At 38.0% G+C, this 23716-nt stretch overlaps 1 protein-coding gene and 1 non-coding gene across 3 annotated transcripts in view; both read left to right on the top strand.

The window, feature by feature from the left end:
- MLLT3 (MLLT3 super elongation complex subunit) overlaps positions 1 to 23716 on the top strand; it is a 280831-nt gene that overhangs the window by 98957 nt on the left and 158158 nt on the right. The gene's annotated exons all lie outside the window — the stretch shown is intronic.
- Positions 21201 to 21278, top strand: MIR4474 (microRNA 4474). Its single transcript, NR_039685.1, has one exon. It is a non-coding gene; the product is annotated as a microRNA 4474 (primary transcript).

Raw genomic sequence — 23716 nt, 5'->3', positions numbered from 1 at the left:
TTTAGTGTTGAATAATATTCCATTGTGTGGTGGAGGTACCACAGTTTATCTCTTCATCTACTGAAGGACATCTTGGTTGCTTTCAAGTTTTGGCAACTATGAATAAAGCTGATATAAACATCCATGTGTAGGTTTTTGTATGGACTTAAATTTTCAACTCCTTTGGAGTAAATACCAAGAAGTTCCTTTGCTGGATTATATGGTAAGAGTATGTTTAGTTTTATAAGAAACTGCCAAATGTCTTCCAAAGTGGCTATACCATTTTGCATTTCTACCAGCAATGAATGAGAGTTCCTGTTGCTCCATATCCTCACCAGCATGAAGTGTTATCGGCATTCTGGAATTTGGCTATTCTAATAGGTGTGTAGAAATAGCTCGTTGTTTTAATTTGCATTTCCTTGATGACAGATAATGTAGAGCATCTTTTAATGTGCTTATTTGCCATTTGTATACCTTCTTTGGTGATTTGTCTGTTAAGGTCTTTGGCCCATTTTTGAATTGGGTTGTTTGTTTTTGGGTTTTAAGAATTCATTATATATTTTGTTGTTATTTTTATTTATTTATTTATTTATTTATTTTTTAAGACAGGGTCTCACTCTGTTGCCCAGGCTGGAGTGCAGTGGCACAATCACGTCTCACTGAAGCCTCGACTTCCTTTAGCTCAGATGATTCTCCTATCTCAGCCTCCAGAGTAGCTGGCCCTACAGGCACGCACCACCACATGCTGAGATTAGAGGTGTTAGCTACTGCACTGGGCCCTTTGTATATTGTATATCCTTTATCAAATATGTCATTTATTTCCTTCTAGTCTGTGGCTTTTCTTTTGATTCTCTTGACAGCATCCCTTGCAATTTAGAAAAAAAACAACTGTTTTTATTCTGTTTATTTTCTTCTCTACTCTTTCTTCTTACACTACACTACAGATTTCTGTATCCACCCTCCCCTCCAAGCGCATACTGGGCAGTAAGCTCTTCCTTACCTATTTGAAACAAGAGGGAATAAATATCACATATGACCTCAAAAGGGTAGTAAAAAATTGACAGGCAATAATTATATGTTCTAAGAGATTATATCTAAGAGAAGATATAATTACTGTTTTGGTCCAGAATGATTATATCATTATTTTGAAGAGGAAAAGCTAATTTTAAAATATGTTAATTGCTTTCTTTCAAATAATGTTTAAGCTTTAATATCCAATTTATCATTTAAATACAGCACAGAACTATTTTAATTTTTAAAATTCTTTTTTTTTTTTTTTGGTCACTTTCAAAGCTGGAAGGGATGACTTTGGCTGTCTTATTTGGAATGGAAACTACCTAACAGTCTTCTCTATGGAACTTGTTTCTGTACTACAGTAGTACTTTAAAAACATGAACAGTTTAGTGCTGGTAGTGGGAATCTTTCTTTAAATAATTTTTTTTTTGTATCAAAACTTGTTTCTGGGCTCTAGAAATAAATGTGTTTCTACATTTTTACATTCAGTTTAATGAGGAAAGTTTCCACCACATATTTCAGAGTGTTAAAAAAAAAAAAAACTGTGACAGTCAAAACTTAATTATAATTTTCCCTTTTAATATCACGTGCTGTCTCCCTTTAGTTCCTATTACATTTCTTGTTTTCTTCTTCATTCTTTCCTCTTCTTTTAGACTGCTGTTAACCTTGAATACTAAGCTGCATTGGATAAATAGAATGAGAATATTACGGCTATTTTTTCAGCAATTAATGAGTTCTAGCTGGTCTTAATTGCTTATGGCATCACGAACAATAAGGGATTTTTCTCCATTAAATCCAGGATTCAATACCTATTTAAAGAACAGAAAGCACTGAATTTTCTTTTTCATGCATTACTTGAGAACACATTTTCTTACCATTTCTTCCTGCTTAGAGCATCTATATCCAACATTGTCAGTTTAAACTTTGCTTTTATGATAGTTACTGTAATGTGGTAATGAATCAAAAGCCACCATAGAGGCTTGAGTTTGAGTTACAGTTAAATGATTTCTTCTTCTGTTTTCTTGAGGGTTTTGAACTCATTTCACATCCATTTTCTCTCATTTACACACACACACACACACACACACACATATACACACACAGCGAGAGAGAGTGAGCAGGAGACTCTTTTTTTGAGGAACAAATTCTCAATTGATTTGGTTTAAAGTTTACAGCTTAGGCTGGGTGCAGTGGCTCATGCCTGTAATCCCATCACTTTGGGAGGCCAAGGTGGGCAGATCACCTGAAGTCAGGAGTTCGAAACCAGACTGGCCAACACGGCGAAACCCCATCACTGCTAAAAGTACAAAAAGTAGCCGGATGCGATGGTGCATACCTGAAGTCCCAGCTGCTAGGGAGGCTGAGGCAGGAGAATCGCTTGAACTCAGGAGGTGGAGGTTGCAGTGAGCCGAGATCGCCCATTGTGCTCCAGCTTGGGTGACAGAGCAAGACTCTCTCCTTTAAAAAAAAAAGAAAGAACAAAAAAAAAGTTTACAGCTTAGCTGTGCAACTCATTTAAATTTAAAAAAATTATTTCAAAGGTTCTGTGAATTCTTCCACATCCTCAGCCTGTCTACAACTCTTTTGTCTTAGAAGAAATCCTGCCTTTTCCACTATTCTACATGTCCTGCTTCTCCCACTCTTAGTCTTCCCTCAGCTTTAGGACAGTTGCTGCGTCTCTGGCTTTTTCTGCAGCCGTGGCCATGGCCAGCATTCTCTTCTAACACTTTGCTATTCCCAAATGTTCCTTGGATTTTCCTGTCCCTGTGCCTTTAAGATGTTATCCTCCTTTCTGAGAACGTCCCCTTTTTCTTAGGATTGGCTAACTTGTGCTCCTAATTGAAGACTCAGTTCAACCATCTCTCTGTCTCTAGGGAAGTCTGTACTGTCTCCCAGTCAACCATTTTTGTTGTGTGCCTAACCCTTGTGTGTTTTTATTGCGGTGTTATTCATATTAGTCTCTATTCATTTTCTTGTATTATTTTTCACATTATTTTTTATTTATATGCCTTCCTATTTTGCTGGACTTTAAGTTACATGAAGGAAATCACTTTTCACAGCATTTAGGATGGAACTTAGCTGGTACAAAGTAACTCGAAATAAGTGCTTTTTCATTGATAGGATTTGTGAGCTGTTTATGTGACTGTCTCAATTTATTCCAATTGAGACTCAGTGATATTCTTTTTTTTTTTAATTTGACTTTTAAGTTCAGGGGTCCATGTGCAGATTTGTTATGTAGGTAAACTTGTGTCATAGAGGTTTGTTGTACAGATTATTTCATCACCCAGGTATAAGCCTAGTACCCATTAGTTATTTTTTCTGATCCTCTCCCTCCTTTCACTCTCCACCCTCCAACAGGCCCCAGTGTGTGTTGTTCCCCTCTATGTGTCCATGTGTTCTCATCATTTAGCTCCCACTTATAAGTGAGAACATGTGGTATTTGGCTTTCTGTTCCTGTGTTAAGTTTCCTAAAGATAATGGCCTCCAGCTCCACCCATGTCCCTGCAAAGGACATGATCTCATTCGTTTTTATGGTTACATAGTATTCCATGGCATATATGTACCATATTTTCTTTATCCAGTCTACCATAGATGGGCATTTAGGTTGATTCCATGTCGTTGCTACTGTGAATAGTGCTGCAGTGAACATATACATGTATGTGTCTTTATAATAGAATGATTTATATTCCTTTGGGTATATACCTAGTAATGAAATTGCTGGGTCAAATGGTAATTCTGTTTTTAGTTCTTTCAGGAATCACCACACTGTCTTCCACAATGGTTGAACTAATTTACACTCCCACCAACAGTGTATAAGCATTTCATTTTCTCCACAACCTTGCCAGCATCTGTTATTTTTTGATTTCTTAATAATAGGCATTCTGACTGACGTGAGATGGTTTCTCACTGTGGTTTTGATTAGTATTTCTCTAATGATCAGTGATGTTGAGCTTTTTTTCATATGATTGTTGGCCACATGTATGTATTCTTTTGAAAAGTGAGATTCAGTGATATTCTGTGAGTTTAACTATGTACGTCATTGTATATCATATAGTCAAAAAAGCCTATATATGGCTCTTAATATGGCCTAATATAATGACATGCTTCCATCTGGCAATCATTAGGTACCTAAAAGTGATGACATATAAATAAAAAACTTTTTGTCTTGGAATAAATTTAGGTCTACAGAAAAGTTTCATAGTATAGAGTGTCCCTGTATACTCCTCACTCGATTTCCTCTATTGTTAAAAGTCTTTAAGGGTTTTGTAAAAACTTTTGTAAAAACTGATAAGCTAATATTGGCACACCATTATTAACTAATTTCCAGACTTTATTCAGATTTGTCTAGTTTTTCTACTAATATCTTTTTTTTGTGTTTCAAGATCTAATCTAGGATACCACATTGATTGTATTTAGCAAATATTTATTTTAAAAGTCTGTAATTTAAAGAGTAATCTAAATTTCTTCTGGTTAATAAGTATTTCCAACTTTTTTCTATTTAATGATTTAAAAACACTATTCCTTTTTTACCTTTTATAGGAAGGAAGAATTAACTCATTGTTAATTAATGAAAGCATTAGTTAATTTAAAGAGTATTGCAGGGTCAGCAAAATCAGGATCCAAACCAGGATCCCACATTGCAGTTAGTTGTCATGTTTCTTTAGTCTCCTTTATCTGTGAGTTGCTCAGTCTGTCTTTGTCTTTCATGACCTTGATATTTTTGAAAATTCTTTTTCAGGTATTTTGTAGAATGTCCCTTGATTTGGGGTTTGTCTGATGTTTTCTCGTGATTAGACTGTGGTTACATTATTGAGAAGGACTCCATACATTCGATAAGCCCTTCTCATTCATTCCATCACCTCAGGGGTACATGGTACATGATATCAGTATGTATTACTGGTGTTAACCTTGTTCACTTGTTTAAGGTGGTATCTGTTAGGATCCTTCACTATAAAATTTTATTTTATCTTTATGATTACTAAGTGTCTTGGGAGAGATACTTTGAGATTGCGTGATATCTTGTTTGTGCTTAAAATTTTGCCCACTTATTTTTGTTTCCATTCTTGCATTTTGCCTGGAGCAGTTACCACTGTAATGTTCTCATGGTGTTTTTCTGTTTCTCTTATTTTCTTCTGCATTTGTTAATTATAATTTTTCTGTAAGGAAAAGTTGCCTTTTTTTGTTTGTTTGTTTGTTTGTTTTGAGACGGAGTTTTTGCTCTCTTGCCCAGGTTGGAGTGCAATGGCGCGATCTTGGCTCACTGCAACCTCTGCCTCCTGGGTTCAAGTGATTTCTCCTGCCTCAGCCTCCTGAGTAGCTGGGATTACAGGCGCGTGCCACCACGCCCGGCTAATTTTTTATTTTTAGTAGATATGAGGTTTCACCATGTTGGCCAGGCTGGTTGCGAACTCCTGACCTCAGGTGATCCGCCTGCCTCTGCCTCCACCTCCCAAAGTGCTAGGATTATAGGCGTGAGCCACAGCGCTCAGCCTACCATTCATTCATTCATTCATAGCACTATGCTTCATGAATATTTATTCTTTTGGTTATACTATTATTGCTCATTTTATTGTTTAAATTACGCCAACTTTGGCCAGTGTAATTTCTTGTGAGTTGCCTTCTATGCCTTCTGACAAGTCTTCATCTCTTTTGCCATCTGCTTCTCTATTTTGTTTTATTTGATTTCTCGCTTTTTTCTTTTTTTTTTCCTGAGACAGAGTTTTGCTCTTGTCTCCCAGGCTGCAATGCAGTGGCAGGATCTTGGCTTCACTGCAACCTCCGTCTTCCAGGTTCAAGCAATTTTTCTGCCTCAGCTTCCCAAGTAGCTGGTATTACAGGCACCACACCAGCACACCCGGCTTATTTTGTATTTTTAGTAGAGATGAGGTTTCACCATGTTGGCCAGGTTGGTCTCAAACTCTTGACCTTAAGTGATCCATCTGCCTCAGCCTCCCAAAGTGCTGGGATAATAGGCGTGAGCCACTGCGCCTGGCCCTGCTTCTTTATTTTCTGACCCCACAGGATGATCTAGGCACACCTTGTATTTTCACTGCCCTTATCTTGGGTTCAACCAATTTTCTTTTTTTTTTTTTTGAGACAGAGTCTCACTCTGTCACTAGGCTGACCCTAAAAAACCTTGGTTCCTTTTATTGGGGGATTGTATTTAGAAACCTCAATCTGGGTGCCATTTGTGTTCATTGTTACTGGGATGCCACTCCTTCTGGTCCCTCTCAGTGGATAGAGCTATGAGATTTGTGTTGTTCTTTTTTGATGTTGGTTTTGTAGCCCTCTACAGTAGGTAGAAACTGTTGGCCAATACCTTGTAAAAATCTCAATATAGCTTTTCCTTTTCTGTTTTTCTGAGGAAATTTTCCAAAATTCCAATGACATTATAATACACAGTAAATATTATATAATACTAGGCTAAGAGCTCCTTGAAGTCTGAAACAACCTATACTAGCACCTGGACAGTAAATCAATGCTTATTGAACAAAATGGAATTAGACTATTTTTAAAAAATACAAAAACTGCGTAAGTATATTATTTCCTATAGCTAATTAATAAAGTAAAACATTTATCCTTAAACTGCATAGCAGTTTCCAGCATATTACTGAAAATTTCTAGCATATTACTGAAAATTGAGTAGATGCTTAAAATGCATGAGTTGGATTTATTATAATACATTTTAAATTATCTCATCCTGTTGTAAAAATAATATACCTTCTAGGGACAGATTTTACCTTTTAGCCTGCCCATTGAACTTACTGAAAATATATTTGGAAACAGAGTTGAGGTAAAATGTGTTACCAATTTAACATTCCCATGTAATCTTTCTACATTGTTGTAACTACTTGTTAGGAGAGGCTCAGATTCTTTTTTGGTTCAAGAGTATCTGGAAATGATTCTGTACACTCCATAGATGATAGAGCATTCTAATAAGCTTTGATATAAAAAAGAAATAGATGTTTCTGCTCAACATTGCAAATAAACTTTATAGTATTATGTGCCTTTGGCATGACAGTTATTTAATACAATAGCATCAATAGCATTCCTGAGACATAGAAAATGAGGAATAACAAGGGGGACCTGACAGGTAATGAAAGTTTTGGAGGTAAGTCAAGAAATGAGAGTAGTAAGACTGTAGAAGCTCTAGCTCTGTGATTAACTGTAATTTAAAGTATTTTAGTGTGTATACATGTAGAGTGTTGTGCTTTTCTACATATTTTTGTGAGGCTGCCTATCAGATTGGAGTGCGATTAGAAAAAAAAAGTCACAATATCGTTTGTGCTGGTTGTGACCAGAGAGCCGTTTAGTGTAAACATTTGTTTCCAAGCTTATGTGATGGGGATACTTTCTCCTCCTTCATGTGGGTCACAGGTGGGATTGGTGAGTCCTTAGCGGAGTCAGGAGATATCTGAGGCAGTGCTGGTGTTCATAGTCACAGACTCCTGGAGCTGGGTCTGGGGTTTATGGCTGACATCTAGATATCTCTTACTTAACTGGCTTTGCTTCTGTGTTTTATTTTTTTGTCATTAGGTGTTATGCTCCCATGGCACACAATATAACATGTCTAGTAACATTGCTTGTGAGTCTTTTTCTTGTATAAAAGCAAATAGATGTTGCTCTGGTGTGGAATATATATTGACTCAATTTTCTTCAGACATACTCCCCAGCCGCAGAGTCTTACATCAGGCGGTCTGTGCTTGAGCTTTGGGGAAGGCCACAGCCTGATCCGGATAAGGTCAATGGGGAGATCCTCAAAAGAGGCTGCTGCCTGTTATGACTCCGGCTGATGGCAACCATAGTAGAGGTGGCCACTTACTATGGTTGCCATATGGGACCCCAGGAGCTCGTCAGATAAACATCCAAAGAAAGAAAAATAATTATTTAGCTGCCTGGCCATTCTAAAAGATTTTGCCAAAAAGAAAAAACAAAACAAAAAACAAAACGGTGAGTATGGGGAGAAAAAGGGACTAATGATCTCACAGTCTCTGGCCATCCCAAGAAAAGGCTGCTGCCTAGAGATACCTTCCTCCTCCCCCATTTTCTCCTATCAGTCAGATATAGGAACTAAAAATGGTGTTGGCTTCAAGCCCAAGAGGGAAAGAAAAGGAACTTTAAACCCTATAGTCCCTATTCACCAGGTCCCGCAAGTATGCCAGTCCTAGATTACTTAAAATTTCAAAACAAACTTGGCCAAACTTCAGGCAGGCCCCTCAGCACTGAATGCCCTGGCCTACAAGTAGTGACATCGTTACATTTATTATAAACAATTGGAGCATTGCCTAAAAATTGTTCCTTGAGGCCTGGCGCAGTGGCTCACGCCTGTAATCCCAGCACTTTGGGAGACTAAGGCAGGTGGCTCACGAGGTCAGGAGTTTGAGACCAGCCTGGCCAACATAGTGAAACCCCATCTCTGCTAGAAATACAAAAAATTAGCCGGGCGTGGTGGCGGGCACCTGTAATCCCATCTACTAGGGAGGCTGAGGCAGGAGAATCGCCTGAACCCGGGAGGCAGAGGTTGCGGTGAGCCGAGATAACGCCACTGCACTCCAGCCCGGGCAACAGTGCAAGACTCCGTCTCAAAAAAAAAAAAAAAAAAAAAAAAATTGTTCCTTCAAGGTAAGAAACACTGAGAATCTCCTGCCTTGAAGATATTACTGGTGGTAACCAGGAAACACATTTCACTTCCTAGAACACAATACTGGTTTCTTGGAAGATGCTTTCAGTAGAACTTTCATGTCCCTGACAGGTGTTAGGTAATGATTTAATCGAGAGGCATAATGATTTCCTCAAACGACTCCTTTTCAAATCCCAGCCCAACAAATAAAGCCCTAACAGTTTCTATCTTGCCCTAGGTCATATCTTTATACATTTGTGATCTTGCTGCCATCCCATAAAGGCTGGCAGCTAGATCAAGGGCACATTCTTTCCTGGGACCTATTAAAAATAGATTGTCCCATGGGCCAGGCAGTTTCTCATTTGATATGGGGGACCTATTTGAGCTTAAATCTCCACCACCAAAAAAAAAATAAAAAAATAATAAAAACCCCTATATGGTACAGCTACATATCATTTTGTTGAATATTAGTCTCATTGCTACTGGTTTGGGTGTTTAATGGTTTACAGTCCAGAGGCCTGCATCAGCTCGAGTGGGCAGTCACTTAAAAAGCCATACCCCAGTCTCACATCCCAGATGATATCACCCAACCCAGGACCTCTCCATTGGAGATGACTTTGCCCCTGTGATTCCTTCCCCTGGGACACTAAAACCTCCACTCATCAGGACACAGGACATTTTTTGGTTTTCTTCCTGAACCCACTGTTTCCTTAGCCCATGATCCTGGTATCCTCCTTGTTCTCCACTCAAATGTACACCCCTACACTTCCATACTGCAAGGAAAATCCGGAATGAGTTACTACAATTAATGGTGACTGTTGCTTTCCTCAGGAGACACCTGCCTCGTATCAGTCAACCCCTTACTCCCTAGGGGAGAGGACCACCTACCCACTGGTGTCTTTCCCTACTACCCCTTCCAACTTTCCATCAGAATCTCCTGACTTGTGCCTCTGAATATGACCACCAAATCCACTTTCTCCTTACAGTCAGTGCATCCACCCCTCAGACTTACACTTATCTGACATTTAAAAACTGGTGCCCAGGCACCAAGATGTGAATTACAGTGAATTTTTATAATTTTATGTTGCTTCAGCATCTATTCTGAATCTAGGTGTAACTTGTTTCACACAGAAGCAGGGCTCAGTCATCCTTGACACACTATCCACTCCCTGCCTCCTCCCGGTTCCTCAGTGTGGTCGAGCCAGATACCTGCCGTGTACAACCACCTCCCTCATGGACATACAGATACAGCCTACTTGACTGACCCCCCGTACCCTGCATGGACTGCTGCAGATACGCCACGGTAGCCACTCTCATTCACAGTGTGACTCCACAGAACTTTTGCCTGCTTGCTCTAAACCCACCAACTAGAACTTCCCACAGGAAACCTGCTTGGTTAGTTCCCTGGACCCCAATAAAGGCCTTGGCCCATAGCTCATTTCTCTCTGGCTGCCCATCTGCTGGTTGAGTGCATTTCCCTGCCATCTTGTCTTTCGCCCGCATTGGTACTCCTCCTCTCACCAATTTGTCGTACGTTGCTTCTGGTATTTCACATGTTTGTGTTGTATTTCCTCCTCTGTGTCTCATCGGACTGACAGACCCAGACCTAATTTTCCTCTTAGTCAGAGCTCTCCCAGAGAGTGGCTATCTTGGGAGGAATAAACTGGACACAGGTCAGACAAGGGCCACAAGGGTACCTGCCAGTATAAACCAGTTTCCTGTGAGAGGGACACCTGGTCACAGGTCAGACACTTAGGCATTAGGCTGTCTGCCAGGATGAAGAAGGATCTCATGAAAGGTACACTGTAAATATCTACAACTATATTTCCTAGAGCCCTATCAGGGCAAGACTAGAATTTATGGCTACTCTCCAGAGAGATACCCCCAAAACCAAATTGTAGAGAAATATAACAGAGCCTCACTTACAGTTCTTAATATGGTGTCTTATGTGTAGTGGATGTTTGATCATTTGTATTGAATTGTCCTATACCGTGGAGTATGTATGTATTATTTACTTAGTCACTTTATAGCTTGTGTTGCAAAATGGGCAATGCCATAAACAGGAGTTCTAACCAAAAGACAGGCTCTGCAAACTGCATGCTTAGTGTGGAGATGCGTTTAGTCATGTACTGTGCTTTGTGGCAGTATAGTTAGAAGCAGTTGTGGTGATGGTCATAGCTATTTTAGTAACTTCAGTTACTGACTTCTGGGAACAAAGTTTCTTGAAAATAAAATCAGCTGCATTAAAAAACCAAAAACAATAAATGAACTTTGCTTAATGACATAACATGGCATGCTAGTGAAACAGCATTTTTAACTATTAAACTTAGGGGGTGTATAGGATAAAAACACTTGTACTCATAGATGCTGTTTATAATGTATAGTTAGGGGCAGTGGTTCTGCAACAATAGCCATTATCAGAATCAGAACAAGCTAGACTCTTCCCCCAAAGTTTCTGATTCATTAAATTTGGGGTGGGGCCTGAGAATTTGCACTTCCAAAGGTTCCCAGGTGGTGCTAATAGTTCTGGAGTCACAGTTTGAGAGCCACTGTTTTAAGGTTAGGAGAACATACCAACCTATCAAAGTGGGCGGGCATCTGATATTGCTGATTCATGGTGGCATGCTGTTGCTGTATTAAACATCTAAGAAAAATCTACTGTGGAGTGAAAATATGATTGCTAATGGAATTTCAGATCAGGAGCCAGATAGGGAGACATCTGTTGTTCCACAGTCCGTAAAACAGCACCATTGCAGCCTTTCTTGGAGGCATATCAAGAATGAGTATTTTAGGTTAGTATTTATTAAAGGAATACTTTTGAAAGCTTGCTCTTGTAGTGCTAGGTTAAGTGCATGAAGAGGTCTGTGTCTCATCTTCAGCTCAGACTTGGGGGCTTTTTTCTTTTTATTGCTCCAGCAAGGTCAACTAGGCTTTATGCCTCTCCTACTCAGGGATGGGCTTCTTCTATTTTAGAACTCTGTACTGGTAATGCAATTCTGAGGCTGCTCTCTGCTCCACAGAGAAGAGTGCTGTGATAGATTATTAATGTCTGCTGTGGCTACTGTTGCCCTTCTCTGCCTTCAGTATGAGCACTTATAGGTGTTCCTCTTCTAAGCTTTACTTGCTGAAGAGGAAGGAGAGGCAGAGGTGTGTGTGTGTGCATGTGTGTGCGCATATGTATGTATGTATGTGTATCTGTGATGTCTGTGTATCTGTATGTGATGCATTTAAAAAAAAATCTTACATATTTTCTTAGGGACTATGTTGTGAGGCTGGAGTACAGTGGCTATTCATAGGCTCTGTCATAGGCCATGAAATCCTGGGCTCTAGCTGTCCTCCTGCCTCAGCCTCCCAATGTATGTGATACATTTAATGATGCTTCATAGCATAACGCCTTTTCTACCATCTTATAATGTAATTCACTGTTGCTTTTACTTCTGGTAATAGTTTGAGAGAAGGAATTGTACTGTAAAGATTCCAGCTTGTAACTCATTGTGTTATACTTAAAATTTCTTGGTAGATTAATTTTTTTGTGTTTGAAGAAAAGGTATTGCAATTGCAATTTTTTATTATTTGCATATGTTTGTATTTGCATATATTCTTTCCAATACTGGGTCTGATCAGTTTCATTTGTTCTTAATTATTTATTTTTTTCTTGAAGTTTTTTTTAAATTACAAAAGTAATACGTTTAAGTTTTATAACTCAGTCACCCCAGAAATTAATAAGCATCCTTCCATATGAACATGCACACACACATACACCACCACTCTAGTATTAGGCTCTAATAGACATGTTTAAAATGTTTTAATTTGTTTTAAATTTTATAATATTAAATAATACCAGTCACATGATTATTCTCTGACTTTAATTTTTCACTTAAACATATCTTGGACTTATTTTGAGGTTAATAGATGCAGATATATAATTCATTATTTTTAATGGCTGCATAATATTCTATAGAGAGAACCAAATGTGATTTATTTAGCCTTTCTGGTATTGATGGCAACCACATTTCCAATTTTTGTTCTTTTAAGCAGTAATGGCAAAGCATTCTTGAGTACATATCTTTAAATGCTGGTGCTTTAGTTCAGTTGAATAAACACTGAAAGTGGGATTCCTAGACTAAAGGATGTATAATTTAAAAAATTTAAATAATAACATTTTACCAAATGCTTTCTGGAAGATTGTAGAAACTTTCAAACCCCTCTCCCAAGTAATGTATGAAAATGTACATTTCCTTATAGTACTACCAACTCTGAATATTAACAATCACCAAGTTTTTGCAAAATGGATCTTTTTTTTTTTTTTTTTTTTCTGAGATGGAGTCTTGATCTGTCGCCCAGGCTGGAGTGCAGTCATATGATCTTGGCTCACTGCAACCTCTGCCTCCTGGGTTCAAGCGATTCTCCTGCCTCAGCCTCCTGAGTAGCTGGGATTAGAGGTGCACTCCACCACACCTGGCTAATTTTGTGTATTTTTAATAGAGATGAGGTTTCACCATGTTGGCCAGGCTGCTCTTGAACTCCTGACCTCGTGATCTGCCCACCTTGGCCTCCCAAAGTGCTGGGATTACAGGTGTGAGCCACCGCGCCTGGCGGCAAAATTGATCTTTTATTTGTGTATCTCTGCCAACCAGTAAGGTTGAGTACCTTTTCGCATATTTTAAGTTTATTCACATTTCTCCTATTCATTGCTCATTTTTTTCCTTCTTGGATTCTTTTTGCTTATCAAGTTGTTGGAATTCTTTAAAGACATTAACTCTTTTTCAGATGTGTTACACATATTTTCTTCTAGTTTATCATTTGATAGTGGTGGTGCCTTGCTCTTTCGCCAAGCAGAAATATTTAATATTTATCTAATATAGCCTGTCAGTCTTTCCTTCATGGTTTTAAAAATAGAATTTTAGGGTTTATAAAACATTTTCACATTTGATTCACATAATTCAGCTAAGGTAATGTTGATATTCTCATCTTTATGAAGAACCTGAGCTTCCAGGAAGCCAACTGGCCTGCCTAAGTTTGTAAGTGGTGGATATCAGATGTAAAAAAAAAAAAATAATAATTGTACCCTGATCATTATACTGTGCTCTGATTGACAGTTCTTTTACAATAAAACTTAGTTAATCATTTGGCAGGATATAAAACAAAAATATGTGGTAGTAATGAAATATCTGTTTTCAAGGCTATGTGTAAGACAAAGTTCAGGTTACATTTCGTTTGTTAGTGAAAGATGCAGTGCCATGTACGTTACAGCAGTGACTTGAACTGTGCTATTAATACAGTCTTGGCGTGGTGGCTTATTTTTAACATGGTATCATACAGTATTTCAATTATTTATGCTTAAACAAAAGCCAAAACCTCAAGTGTTGTAGATATTAATGCTTAGGAGAAAGACCAAGGTAGAAGAGAAACACATCTTCAACAAATTCAAAAGGGCCACCTCTTACTCAATGCCTGGGTGTTTCAATGACTTAAAGCCACTACAAGCACAACTAAAGAGTGAGAACCATTTTTATCTAGAGTCAAAGAATTATAAAGAAACAGTAAAAGCTTTTCCCCCACTACATTTCAGCTGAACTTTGAACAGAATAAATATACCTTTCAGTACATATTTTAATGAGTATACTGTCCATGGTGAACATACTTAAAAAAAAGGAATCCACCATAAAACAAAAAGATTGCCATCTTTGGTAGACTTCAGTGATTTGTGCTACCAGATGTTCTGGGTACCCAGTCTGGACTCTGAATGGAGAGAGTTTGAAGAACCCACTCAGAACTGGAGTTCATTAGATCTTCATGGAATGTAAACGGTTGTGGGCATTGTACATACATCATATGCAATATGAAGCCTAGGACAATAGATACCTCTCTTGCATGAAAAGAACAGAGACCTTGTGCTTCTGATTCCCACTGATGTACATTGACCTGTAATTCCTTGTCATGTCTTCACCACCCCTTTCCAAACACACAATCACCAGACTTTAAAAATGAAATTATTTAAAATGAAATCATATACCATATTCTTTTGGTTATGAGTTCCTTGAGGATGTAGAGACGACAGCCATATGAATTAGTGATACCATAAAATGGAAATGTTTTTCAGTATTGTAAAATGGGGATGCTTAGCCATATTTTGTTTTTGCTGGACCTATGGGGTTTATAGATACTTATTTTATACTTCCATTAGTGAACATGTCAAATCTTTTTAGCCGTTTGGGTTTAAAACTTTTTTTTATGAATTTATTACTTTTTGTTCTGTTAAGTTTCTTTAATTTACGAGGCTAGTCTACTTGAATTGTATGAAGTCTGACTTTGTAAAGCAGTGGTTTGTTCTTACCCATCTAAATCATTTCTTGTGCCTGAATTTTTAATCTTTTGTCTTCTTCATTCTTTACCTCTAAGATTTACTTTCAGTTCCTCCCTACAGTTATGACTGGGGTTTTGTTGACTAGAATTTCTTCTGCTTTAGGTCTCTAGATCCTGGGATGATAGTGTTGGCACTGCGGTAGTGTCCTCTCCTATCTCTTTCTACCATCTGTAAACACTTTCATTCTCCTTTTAGTGGATGGGCCTCCTGAGGATACATGATGCAGAGTGTTTGTGAAAGGAAACTGATAGGACTGAAGACATTTTTCTTTATAAAAGGGGAAGGGCGGAATGTGGGGTGAGAGGTAAGGGAATGGATCTGTTGTCATCCTTACTTGTTTCAAGTGTTCTGTAGGTTTTTCATTTACCTGCAGTTTTGTGAGACCATAAATAAGAACATTATGATGGGAAAGTTGCAGTATTTTAAATTTAGAGCAGTTTCAAAATCTGTGATTCTGGTTAGTAGGAGACAGATGCTAAACTATTTTATTGTGATGCATTGAAATAGAACCTCTCCTTTTGGATTAAGCAGCAGGGAATATACATTTGAATATCTTAATGTTATTGAATTAATTTCCAGATTTATTATGGCTACCTCTCCCCTCATGTAAACTGCTTTTATTCTTTTTTTAAACAAATGTGTTATATTTTGATGTCTAATCATGATTTTAGGCATACTTTATTTGGATTGTTATAGATTCTTATTGTGAAGAGTACCTTTCCTTTTCCTTTTATTCTATTATGATTTTAACATTAAAATGTTGAGCCAATTGATTTATCTATTTTTCTGGGCTTGAGATTTGTTTTTTTTTTTTTTTTTCCATTTTGGGAATAGACTACATGACATTTTGTGATTGGTTAATTTTCTTCTAATATTGCTGCTCTATCTTTGAGGAAGTTAATAAGCAAATTCTTGCATGCATGGGCAGGAAGAAATTGGGTAATCTTGAGAAATCATCTGCTGGCTTTGAACATGAGATTAATTTTGGTTTTGATTACTTTGTTAGACCAAAGATTTGGGAAGAAAGGAGGAAACCTATAAGGGTCTCTTTTTTAAAGGCAAGCTTTAAGAAATGTTATATAAACTAGGACCTTTTTATGAATACGTTTTTGTAGGGTTAACATTCTCATTTTAAAAAAATGAAGGAAGTTTTGAGCCTAGGCTGCAGTCAACTTGGGGGAGGCAATTTTAGGCTTCAGAAATATTTCCTTAGCTCTTCCCCAGACACTGATTTTCTTTTGGTGCCTTGTAAGTAAGAAGTAGATTGCCGAAAGATGCTCAATTAACAGATTATATGAATTTGTAGATTGTTTGTAAGCTTCAAAACTTAAGAGGTAGATATCGGTGGAACTTGATCTGGATTCAGCTAGTCCCCTTTCCCTTCTTTTAAAGGTCAATTAACTGCTAAAGTGATGTTTTAAGAAACAGTTCTCTTTCAAATGTAGACACCGTCTTGAAAATTTACTACTCACTTTCGCATTAAGCCAGGGCCTACTTGTTAAAGGTTTTAGGGGGTGCCTTGCACTCTTCATACTGCCAATTGAATAGTAAGTGTTGATTTGGAACAAAGAGAATTAATTTTACATGTTTGAGAAAGATTCGTTTTTAAGTGATACCCACCCCCTACTTAAATAGCAAGTGATTAACTACTACTTTAATTTTCAATTAATCAAATTAGGTTTCTACTGGTAGATTTTGATTACATGCAGTTCTAACAGCTTCCAGATACACTTCTCTTTCCCATATGCTTGCCATATGCTGACTAAAATGAATGTAGAATAAATTAGTGTAAAAGTAAGAACACTAAGTTCTTTTGTAGAGTTCATCTTGAATGACAGAAGACAGCTCAGAATCATTTTAGCTATGAGGCACCTTTTGAAAAGTGATATGGAAAAATAACCTATTTATGTGTGCCAAGGTCTGTTTTCATAAATGTAAATTTGAAAGTTCATTAAAATTTTGGCATGTGATTTGGAATGCATAATAACTGGAAATGAGTCAACGCCAGAAATCTGTATCCTTATACTAACAGCATGTTTCACTGAAGACTGGCTTTGTATAGTTGTTTAATATTTAAAAGGTTAAAAAAAAAAAGCATTTACTTGACGGTTATGGCTCTGGAATTGTATTCAGGATGGAGAGGCTGCAGAGGAAAGGGAGAGCCAGCAGTCTAACCAGTGGTCCCAGGAAGCTCATCAGCCAGTTCTCTTGAAAAAGCAGGGGCCGGGCACGGTGGCTCACGCCTGTAATCCCAGCACTTCGGGAGGCTGAGGTGGGCGGATCTCCTGAGCTCAGAAGTTCAAGACCAGCCTGGCCAACATGGAGAAACCTCGTCTCAAACTAGCTGGGCGTGGTGGTGTGCACCTGTAATCCCAACTACTTGGGGGACTGAGACAGGAGAATTGCTTGAACCTGGGAGGCAGAGGTTGCAGTGAGCCGAAATCGTGCCACTGCACTGGAGACTACATCTCAAAAAAAAAAAGAGAGAAAAAAAGAAAGAGCAGGGCTGGTGACTTTTAAACAGTGACTACTGTCAGTGACCAACTATCCCTTGTTTTTCAGACATAGCAAGACAGAAATGCATGTTTTCTGTACCATCTTTGGGAATGTAAAGTTGGACCATGAAGGACATTTTAGCTCACGTAACAACAGCTGAAAAATGGCTGAGCTGGGATCACACTGAGGGGGTATCTAAACTAGTGGTAGTATGAACAGTTAATGCTTGGATATATTCTAATGTTACATGCCTGGCCTACTGCTTACCTGTAACATAAGCCTTCCGAGGTGACGCAATACAGGCATAGAGGACGAGGAAAAACCTACCAACTGTTGGAGCAATCAAGCCCACTTCTTTGTAACAGGACAAATGTGTGTCACGATAGTCCTTTCAGACATCTTCAAGTGAGGCATAGGAAACAATGCCATAAGCCAAGGTAAGGATGAATGAGGAATTACTGAAATAGAAGAGTTTTTATTTTAGAACTTATAGGCTAACCTCTTCGAATTCTTATCCTCTGCCCACTTGTTATTTTTGCTGTTACATATGTGTACTTTGTACAGATTCCATTTTTATTCTGTTATTCATTTTTATGACTTTGTTTTTAAAGTTTCTTGTTCTCTGACATCTCAGGCACTCTGGTTTCTACATTCCAATTTTGTTGGAGGAAAAAAAAGTTTATAATTTAGCAAATAAGGTGATCACCATGATGAAAAGTCTTACTATTTAAATTTGTGATTATGTGTTGAGGTCATATTCTGTCACTTAGTATGCCATTTATGGATGATGTTTTAAAATTAACCAAGCTTCTTGCAGAAAGTGAGTTTAAAATCACTGTCATCTTGGTTTATTTCCTCTCTTAGCTTTTGATCTATTTGACTTTGACACATGCATCTCACCAACTTCTGTAGATTCTCATTTTGACAGGATGCTTTGATTACCACCAACACCCCACCAGCAACCACCCCCTGTTCTGGTTCAAGCCATCAGTCACTAAATTGGATGTTCTTGCATCTGTTTTGTTCACTTCATGTCTTTTGACTTATGGTGAGCCCTTCTTTTTTTTCACCTGAACTTAGTAATTTTTCCTACTTTTGGGCTCCTTTCCGTCAAACCATTTTTCTCATTGTGGACAAATACCTTTCTGAAAACATGGGTCTCATCAAGTTTTTCTACTTAAAAAAATAATTTTTTAAATTGAAAAATAAAAATTATACATATTTATAGTGTATAACATGATGTGGAAATCTGTATACATTGTGAAATGGCCAAATTGAGCTAATTAACATATGCATTATCTCAGGTACTCATCATGTTTTGTGGTGAGAAGACTTAAAATCCCCTTAATGTTTTTCAAAATAAAATACATTGTTATGAACTGTAGTCACCATATTGTACAATAAATCTCTTGAACTTATTCCTCTTATCAAGTGAAATTTTATATCCTTTGAACAACATCTCCCCAACTCTCCACCTGCCCCCACCCACCACCATTCTACTCTTTGATTCAATGAGTTCAGCTTTTTTAGATTACACATACACATGAAATCATGTGATTATTTGTCTTTCTGTGTCTGGCCTATTTCTCTTAACATAATGTCTTCCAGGTTCATTCATGTTGTTGAAAATGACAGGATTTCCTTCTTTTTAAAGGCTGAATAGTATTCAGCCTTTAATATAATTATATTTGTACACACACACACACACACACACAATTCCATTGGGGATATATATTTCACATTTTCTTTGTCCATTCTTCTCTTCATGGACACTTAGGTTGATTCCATATCTTGACTATTGTAACTAGTACTGCAGTGAAAATGGAAGTACAGATATCTTTTTGAAATACTGGTTTTGTTTCCTTTGGATGTATACACAGTTTTGGAATTGCTAGGTCAATAATTTAATTTTTGAGGAACCTTAAAATTTTCCATAATGGCTATACTAGTTTTCATTCCCACCAACAGTATACAGTGGATCCTTTTTCTCTGCTCTCTATATCCTTGCAAAAATCTATCTTCATCTTTTCGATAATAGCCATTCTAGCACGTGTGAAGTGATATCTCATTGTGGTATTAATTTGCATGTCTCTGATGATTAGTAATGTTGGGCATTTTTTCATACACCTGTTGCCTATTTGTATGTCGTCTTTTGAGAAATGTCTTTTCAAGTCCTTCACCCATTTTAAAATCAGGTTATTTATTTTCTTGCTATTGAGTTGTTTGAGTTCCTCATATATTTTGGATATTAGTCTTTTATCAGATGCATGGTTTGCATATATTTTTTTCCAGGCTGCAGGTTGTCTTTCAGTGTGTTGATTGTTTTCTTTGCTGTGCAGAGCTCTTTAGTTTGATGTAATCCCAGTTATCTATTTTTTTGTTTTTGTTTTTGGTTGCCTGTGCTTTTGGGGTCATATCCAAAGAATCATCACCCAGAATAATGTCATGGAGAATTTCTGCTATGTTTTCTTCTAGTATTTTTATGGTTTCAAGGTTTACATTTGAATCTTTAGTCCATTTTGAGTTGATTTTTATATTTAGTATGAAGTAAGGGTCGAATTTCATTCTTATGTGTGTGGTGTCCAGTTTTCCTAACACCATTTATTGAAGAGGCTGTGCTTTCCCCATTGTGCATTCTTGGCACCTTTGTTGAAAATCAATTGACTGTATATGTGTAGATTTATTTCTGGGCCCTCTATTCCATTCCATTGATCTGTGTGTCTCTTTTTATACCAGCAGCATGCTGTATTGATTACTGTAGCTTGGTAGTATACTTTGAAGTTAGATAGTGTGATGCCTCTAGCTTTGTTCTTTTTGCTTGAGATTACTTCAGATATTTGGGGTCTTTCGTGGTTCCATACAAATTTTAGGATTGTTTTTTCTATTTCTGTAAAAAATGTCATTGAAATTTTGATTGGGGAATCTGTAGATCACTTTGGGTAGTGTGGACATTTTAACACTATTAATTTCTCCACTTGTGAACACAGTATGTCTTTCCACTTATTTGTGTTGTCTTCAGTTTTTTTCATCAATCTTTTATAGTTTCTGGTGTACAGGTCTTTCAACTTCTTGGTTTAAATTTTTTCCTAAGCATTCTGTTCTTTTTGGTTGCTGTAGTGAATGGATTGTTTTCTTAATTTATCTTTCAGATAGCTCATTGTTAGCATATACAGATGCTACTGATGTTTGAAAAATGATGTTGATTTTGTTTCCTGCAGCTTCACTGAATTTATTTATTAGTTCTAACAGTTTTTTGATGGAGATGTTAGGGTTGTTTGTCTACAGTCATTCCTCAGTATCTGCAGGGGATTGGTTCCAGGACCTCCTGTGGATACCCAAACCCATGGATTCTGAAATCTCTGATATAAAATAGCATAGTATTTGCATATAACCTATGCACATTCTCCTGTATACTACACATTATCTCTAGATTACTTATAATAACTAATACATTGTAAATGTTATATAAATAGTTGGTATACTGTATTGCTTAGGGAATAATGACAATAAAAAAGTTCAGTACAGATGTAATTTTTTCTCCTAATATTTCAATCTGTGGTTGGTTGAATCCACAGATGTGGAACCCATGGATATAGACAAGCAACTGTATAAGATCACGTTGTCTGCAAGTTTTTTCACCTCTTAAAAATACTTGGTGGCTAGCTATTACCTGTAGAATTCAGCTCCTTACAGTGCTATGTAAGGAACATCACAGGCTGGCATTTGCCTACCTTGTTAGTCTCATGATCAGACACAAATATGGCTCTTTGTGGCTGGTCATGAGGCTAACAAGGTAGGCACCTGGAACCACACTTCAAGTCAGGTTCATTTGTGGTGCCCTGTCAAGCCAGGCATTCTGTATACTCTGGAATTTTTGCTTACATTTTAACTTTGTCAACAATCAGTACTCTTCGTTTTATTATTGTCAGATATTTACCTACTTTTCCTTAAAAGGTAGTCCCCCCCCCCCCCTTTTTTTTTTTTGAGATGGAGTTTCGCTCTTGTTGCCCAGGCTGGAGTGCAATGGCACCATATTGGCTTACTGCAACCTCCGCCTCCCATGTTCAAGTGAATCTCCTGCCTTAGCCTCCCCAGTAGCTGGGATTACAGGTGTGTGTCACCACCCCCAGCTAATTTTTGTATTTTTAGTAGAGACGAGGTTTCACCATATTGGCCAGGCTAGTCTCGAACTCCTGGTCTCAGGTGATCTGCCTGCTTTGGCTTCTCAAAATGCTGGGATTACAGGTCTGAGCCACCTCGCCTGACCTCTTGGGTGCGGTTTTTTTTTTTTTTTTTTTTTTTTTTTTTGAGACGGAGTCTCGCTCTGTCGCCCAGGCCGGACTGCGGACTGCAGTGGCGCAATCTCGGCTCACGGCAAGCTCCGCTTCCCGGGTTCACGCCATTCTCCTGCCTCAGCCTCCCAAGTAGCTGGGACTGCAGGCGCCCGCCACCGCGCCCGGCTAATTTTTTGTATTTTTAGTAGAGACGGGGTTTCACCTTGTTAGCCAGGATGGTCTCGATCTCCTGACCTCATGATCCACCCGCCTCGACCTCCCAAAATGCTGGGATTACAGGCGTGAGCCACCGTGCCCGGCCGGGTGTGGTTTTAACTGAGTCTCCTAGGTCTTAATGAGGGCTCCTTTGGATATTGTAAGTAATAATCATGGTTGTTGGTAAATTTGTCTTCATAGTTAGATGCCTTAACTATGTGAGGGGAAGGAAACTGTCTTATTTGCCTTCGTCACCTCACACATAGCAGAAGGCCTGGTATGTATTCAGTGTTCCATCAATATTTATTGTGTGGAATTTATTTTCCATTACATTTTATGGAGAATGAGAGAATCTTAAAGTAAATGAGGTGTCCTAGAAATGGTATATTTGAATAAAGATTTGTGACATCATGATTTATGGAAGTAGAAAGGGAAATATAGTAATTCCTAGGCATTTTAACTAGTGAATGGATACCATGAACCATAATTGGTAAATTATCCAAAAATCAATCATATTTAGCTAAGGAAAGTGGTGCACATGTGTGTGCATGTGTGTGTGTATCTGTGTGTTTTATAATGGGAAATTCACTTTAAACTAATGAAAGAATGATTTGAAACTCTGAATTATAGGCAATTCTTAATAATTATTGGGAGGGCTAGAGTGTAACCCAGGTTTCTGGGCATTGAACTTAAAGAAGACATTGAACTGGAGGGAGTTGAAAATGATGCAGCTGTGCATCAAGAGATTGCTATTAGTTTCTCTATATGACCTGTGGTAAGTAACTTCTGAATTCGGTTTTTGTAACACAGAACACCTGGAGGACCAAAGTCAATAGGGTATACTCAACTGTAGTAGACAAGATGGAAAACAGTATTGGGAGAAATAAGAATGGGGAAAATATTGAGCCTGGGCATGTCAGTGTATAGCTTTGCCTTAGAATTTAATTTGAACTGAGTGGTCAATAGTTCTTGATGCCCCAGGGAGAACTAGGATATATTCTGGGGCAAATTGAATTTTCCAAAGATTTCCGTAAAGTTATCTTTCACCCACATGCTCTTCTCACAGTTGATTTTGCTACTTCTGTCTTTGAGAGGTAGGGTCTTTGTCTTTTCTTTTTGAAGCTAGGTTGGCTTTTGTGCCTGTTTCAGCCAATAGAGTAGTGCAGAAATGATGCTATGTGATTTCTGAAGCTAGATCAGAAAAGGTGATGCTCCTTTCTTTGTTGAAATACGGTGTTCAGTTGTGAAACCTGCAGCCTTCATGTAAGCAGTCCAGCTGCTCAGAGGCCATTGTGTTGTGAGGAGAGACCAAGGGCCCTGAGAAGACCAACTGTATTAAGCAGCCAGACCTTTGCCCTGCTAGCCCTGCACCGCTCTTGCTTCAGGCACCATTTCAGTGCAGCCAAATGAGAAACTCTGAGCTAGAACCACACAATCAAACCTTTCTGAGTTCCTGACCCTCAGAGAAAGTAAAATGGCTATTACTGTTTTAAACTAAGCTTGATGGTGACTTATTATGTATCAATAGATAATTGGAACATGTTTCTTTGGAGAAGCATTTTTCCATTTTCTGTTAGGTGGTATTGAAGGAAGACAGGGATGGAATAAGAGGCATCTCTGAATGCAGATTTAGAGTTGTCACTGCATTAACACCTGTTCCCCCACATTTTTTTTTAAGAGACAGGTTCTTGCTATGATGTCCAGGCTGGATTCAAAGCCCTAGGCTCAAATAATCCTCTCGCCTCAGCC

This window comes from Homo sapiens, chromosome 9, assembly GCF_000001405.40.
Source record: "Homo sapiens chromosome 9, GRCh38.p14 Primary Assembly".
Classification (NCBI taxonomy): Eukaryota; Metazoa; Chordata; class Mammalia; order Primates; family Hominidae; genus Homo; species Homo sapiens.
The sequence above is the reverse complement of the archived record's forward strand: the minus strand, read 5'-3'. Positions and strand labels throughout refer to the sequence as shown.